This window comes from Homo sapiens, chromosome 4 (assembly GCF_000001405.40).
Source record: "Homo sapiens chromosome 4, GRCh38.p14 Primary Assembly".
NCBI classification, from domain to species: domain Eukaryota; kingdom Metazoa; phylum Chordata; class Mammalia; order Primates; family Hominidae; genus Homo; species Homo sapiens.
The window spans coordinates 138656877-138661190 of record NC_000004.12 but is presented as its reverse complement, the minus strand read 5'-3'; the positions used below and the strand labels follow the sequence as shown (position 1 = coordinate 138661190).

Here is a 4314-nt window from a genome sequence, read left to right as displayed (position 1 = left end):
CATTATAAATATAAACTGATACACAGTGATGCCACAGTAATTTTGTAAACTAAAGGTTATAATGTTTGAGGAGGTGGGAAAAGTGTTTCTCTTGGTTCAGCCAAAAGCACATCCAGGAAATGTGCATGAAGTTGATTTCTCTTCCCCATCACTAAAAGCCTACATAGAACCTTAGCAGGAACTTAGAGATAATTTACATGAGGAAACTTACTATAGTGGCAGTACACTAACACGTTGGACTTTCATTTTTTTAAAAAGGTATTTTAACTTGTTACCAAAAACATTGCAGTTGAGATAAGGTCTTTTGAATTTCTGTGGATTTGCTTGGCTCCTTTTTTGCCATGTTCTCATATGAAACACGGTAGGGTATTTTCTGCTCCACATTTTAATTATTCTTTCAACTCTATTTATCTGTTAGAAAGCAGAGATTCTTAATTGCTTTAAAGAGAAGACAACATTAAAACCCAGAGTAGGTCAGAAGAATCCTGGTAAGTGACTGTTTCACTTCGAATGGGATTGTTTGGAATTCTAAAGTCCTCTAACTTCTCATCCTTAAATACCTTTTGAAGATGAATTACAGGCATGCATGCCAGAGTAAAGTACTAGGTCAGTTCCTAACCATCTATGGATAACTGACATCCACAGACAATAACAGCATCTTCTCTCCATCCAGCAATTTTATTCCTTCCACCCACCCACTCCTTACCTAATATTTGTTGGAACTCTTAAGAGGAAGCAAACTGACATTTATTCATGTTTCCCCATTAGATTTGTTTTCTGATATGAAGCAAAATGGACAAAAAGGCAAGTGACAGAAAAGAAAAGAGGAAAGGGGGACAGTGGGACATTAAGTCGCTGATTGGAATGTGTTCACTGCCCAGTCACAACAGTGTTCAGTCCTATTGGAGCTACGCAGACCCCAGGGCTTTTCCTGCATGGCCTACAGCTCTTGCCAGCCAAGAGGAGCTGTATGCTTGTCCGAGCAAGAGCGACCCTCTGGTGCTTCAAGTTGGCTGCTCATTTGTCAAATGGATTCAAATGCAAATGTTCTTTGGTATTCTGGAGGCTCTCAGCTAGGGTTTTTTGGGGCCCTTTGTGGAATCTGATGAATCAATCCACCTTCTCCTTGATGCCTGCTGAGTCACCCTCTCCGCTGCTCCTTTCTGTGGTCGGAAAGGTAAATGAAAATCCCATTATTCAGCCCATGCTATTGTGATGGCAGTTTCCTTTGAGCCTCTTGGCAAAACCCTGCTTGCTTTAGAACTGTACATCATATTGGATCCATTGAGAGCCATTATGTATCTGACAGGATATTTATAAAAGCCGTCATTAGCTGCAGCTCCAAGTCAATATGTTTCTCTCTTGCTGACACACATCACACCAACAGGCTTGAAATATTTAAATACAATAGTCCCTTCAAGAAATCATTAATTTTTCTATCACTCTTAGAAGTGATAATTTGATGGAAATGGATTTAGTTGAAATAGCTGAGCTGACTGGAGTGGATACTTTAAAGTGCCCAGACTTCAGAGAAGTCAGCCTAGGACACAGTGAGGGTCCACTGAGGACCAGAACCCAGAGCCCTGGGGGCAGCAGCACTGCTACAGCCTGCTCACCTCCAGTGCCACCCCACCCACTTCAGTGGGGAAGACGCATGCTCCGAAGGAAAACGTTTAACTATCAAGGAGAAGAAATGAAACAGGGACGAACCACCTCATTACTGGCCGCGTCCCTGTCTCTTTTTGTCCCCGCCTGTCTCCCTCCTGCTTCTCTTCTCCCTCACACTCCTTTGCCCTCCTCTCTCTTTTATCCCCCTGTCTATTTTTCTCGGCTTCTTCCCTGGTTCATCTCCTGCGCTTTGATCTTCCTCCTCCCTTATTCACATTCCCTGCTGTGTGTGGCTGCACTGAAATTGAGGATGTCTTAAGTGTCTCCCTCAGGGTCTCTGCTCCTGCTAGGGGAGGGGTCCAGGACAGTGTTTCTGCATCTGGCCATTGGCTCAATCCCTCTCCAGGGTTCCTCATACATAATTAATGCAGAAAGTGTCTGTGACCCTTCGCAATACAGGACAGGAGTCAAGCTGCGAGAGTTTCTGGATGGATAAAGGACTTGGACCTTGTCTGGAATGTACTGTACCTTCTGTTCTTCAGTATATTTCCCAACCGAAGGAAAGAGGTCTGCAATTGTGTGATCTCCAAGCTAGCATTATGTTCCTTCATAAAAGCAGCATCGGAGCCTTTTCTGCACCAGAAATGGTTCATCTGCTTTGAAGATGGGGCAAGAAGTAAGAGAGAAGATATGTTTTCTTGTGTATTTCTTAATGACAATTCTAGGTGAGACAGGAAAAAAAAAAGAAGAAAATTCTGTGTAGAGTTAAATTGTCATGTTGGGTTGTGCCTTGGAATTTTCCTCTCAGTTAGATTCATTGTTAAGGAAATCAGAAGCTTAGAGGAGCCACAGGCAGCATGATGAGGAGGATGATGAGGAGGCTCCCCACAGCTGCCTCCTGCAGTGCTGTCCACCCACTGAGTCCAACTAGCTACCAGGACGCTCGCCTCATTCCTCTCCTGCTCCATTGTCAGAAAACCCAAAAATCTCCTAATGCATTTCTTCTGTTTCTCTTCTGACTTATTATTGTCAATTTATAATTGTTGTTGACTCCAAGCTCTGGGGCCATTACAGAGAGATAGAAAGGGAAAGACAGAGAAAGAGAAAAAGAAATGCTTTCTGAGTTCAAAAATCTACATATTTGGATTTAGCTGGGGAGAGAGAAAGTGGTTAACAACTACAAGCAATTTACAGTTAAAAGAGTAAAGTGTAAGCAAAGAGGAGGGAAATCACTCTAAGCTGGAGTGGAAAATGTTTCCAGTAGGAGGCCGGCACCTGAGTTTCTTACACTGCCATGCAGTCTTGAAGATTTTTGAGTTATCCTCAAGAGGTTTTACATTTTGAATTTTTATTTGGATAATAAAAAAATCAGGTTATAGTCTAAATGACCACCCTGTCTCCAGATCCTGCTCTTTCAGTGCCTGATGGTGTTGAGGATGAAATTGGCAATAAGTATTATGACTTTAGCTATACTGGCTGGTGAATAGAGGTTGTCTTCATTTGCAAAAGACACATTTGGATCACTTGAAGGTCAGATGGTATTACTAAGCCACGTGCAAACGAAGACTTAAATAAATTTGAATATACTGCTGGGCGTGGTGGCTCACACCTGTAATCCCAGCACTTTGGGAGGCCAAGGCGGGTGGATTACAAGGTCAGGAGATCGAGACCATCCTGGCTAACACAGTGAAACACCACCTCTACTAAAAAACAAAAAATTAGCTGGGCGTGGTGGCAGGCACCTGTAGTCCCAGCTACTGGGGAGGCTGAGGCAGGAGAATGGCTGAACCTGGGAGGCGGAGCTTGCAGTGAGCCGAGATCGCGCCACTGCACTCCAGCCTGGGAGACAGCGAGACTCCGCCTCAAAAAAATAAATAAATAAATAAATAAATTTGAATATAAATGTATCTCTCCCCTCTGCCCCCTCAATATCCTAAGGTAAAATTTGGAGATAACTTTGCCTTCCTTATATTGATAAGATTAGTCAGCTGGCTGAGGTAGAAGTAGATGCTAAAATGGAGGGTTTGCATTGGAGAAGGCTCAGATTGGTCCAAATAAGAAAAGAGAGAGGGCAGAAGGAGCAGGGAGAAAATAAGTAAATATTTGGAGCCTCTCAGAGAGTTTGGGTGGGAAATTGAGGATGAGAAAGAAAGAAAAGATTTAGGCCAATTTTGGTCTGAAAAATCCAGAAAATAATTTAAAAAAAAAGAAGAAAATAGGAGTTTTAAAAAAGTTGCTCAAAGTTATAAACCGGATCTTGTACACTTCTTCTGGGACCTCAGAAGAATTAAAACTCTCAGCTGGAAGCTCAGGTCCACTAGGAATTGAGCAGCGATTAAAGAAAGCTTTGAGTAGGTTGACATATTTTCCTCATACTATTCACATAAAATTTTTAAAAAGGCTGAATGTTTAAAGCCTCTAAGTGTTCCCAGACTAAACCGAGGGTTGGGCTGCTTGTTCTCATGGTCCAATAATGAGATGCAGATGAACTGGGAAAGAAGAGTTTATTTCTGTAACCAGGTATAGGGAGAAGGCCAGGGATAATTCACCAGACCAACTTAAAGTTACAAAGTTTTTCCAGTGCTTATATACCTTCTAAGCACTGAGTCTATGTTGATAAAAGAAAAACTTCAGCCAAATTAAATTTAAAGGAGTTTACTTGAGCAATGAATGATTCGCGAATCAGGCAGCCCCCAGAATCACAGC

General features: G+C 42.2%; 5 annotated features.

Annotated features, from left to right (window-relative positions):
- Nucleotides 463-1010: an enhancer, noted in NCBI's record as "OCT4-NANOG-H3K27ac hESC enhancer chr4:139581335-139581882 (GRCh37/hg19 assembly coordinates)". NCBI's record gives its function as "activates a minimal SCP1, AML or CMV promoter by ChIP-STARR-seq in naive H9 embryonic stem cells {active_cell/tissue: H9 hESC(naive)}" and the evidence as "EXISTENCE:reporter gene assay evidence [ECO:0000049][PMID:30033119]".
- Nucleotides 1011-1559: an enhancer, noted in NCBI's record as "OCT4-NANOG-H3K27ac hESC enhancer chr4:139580786-139581334 (GRCh37/hg19 assembly coordinates)". NCBI's record gives its function as "activates a minimal SCP1, AML or CMV promoter by ChIP-STARR-seq in naive and primed H9 embryonic stem cells {active_cell/tissue: H9 hESC(naive and primed)}" and the evidence as "EXISTENCE:reporter gene assay evidence [ECO:0000049][PMID:30033119]".
- Nucleotides 1560-2107: an enhancer, noted in NCBI's record as "NANOG-H3K27ac hESC enhancer chr4:139580238-139580785 (GRCh37/hg19 assembly coordinates)". NCBI's record gives its function as "activates a minimal SCP1, AML or CMV promoter by ChIP-STARR-seq in naive H9 embryonic stem cells {active_cell/tissue: H9 hESC(naive)}" and the evidence as "EXISTENCE:reporter gene assay evidence [ECO:0000049][PMID:30033119]".
- Nucleotides 2108-2656: an enhancer, noted in NCBI's record as "OCT4-NANOG-H3K27ac hESC enhancer chr4:139579689-139580237 (GRCh37/hg19 assembly coordinates)". NCBI's record gives its function as "activates a minimal SCP1, AML or CMV promoter by ChIP-STARR-seq in primed H9 embryonic stem cells {active_cell/tissue: H9 hESC(primed)}" and the evidence as "EXISTENCE:reporter gene assay evidence [ECO:0000049][PMID:30033119]".
- Nucleotides 3205-3753: an enhancer, noted in NCBI's record as "H3K27ac hESC enhancer chr4:139578592-139579140 (GRCh37/hg19 assembly coordinates)". NCBI's record gives its function as "activates a minimal SCP1, AML or CMV promoter by ChIP-STARR-seq in naive H9 embryonic stem cells {active_cell/tissue: H9 hESC(naive)}" and the evidence as "EXISTENCE:reporter gene assay evidence [ECO:0000049][PMID:30033119]".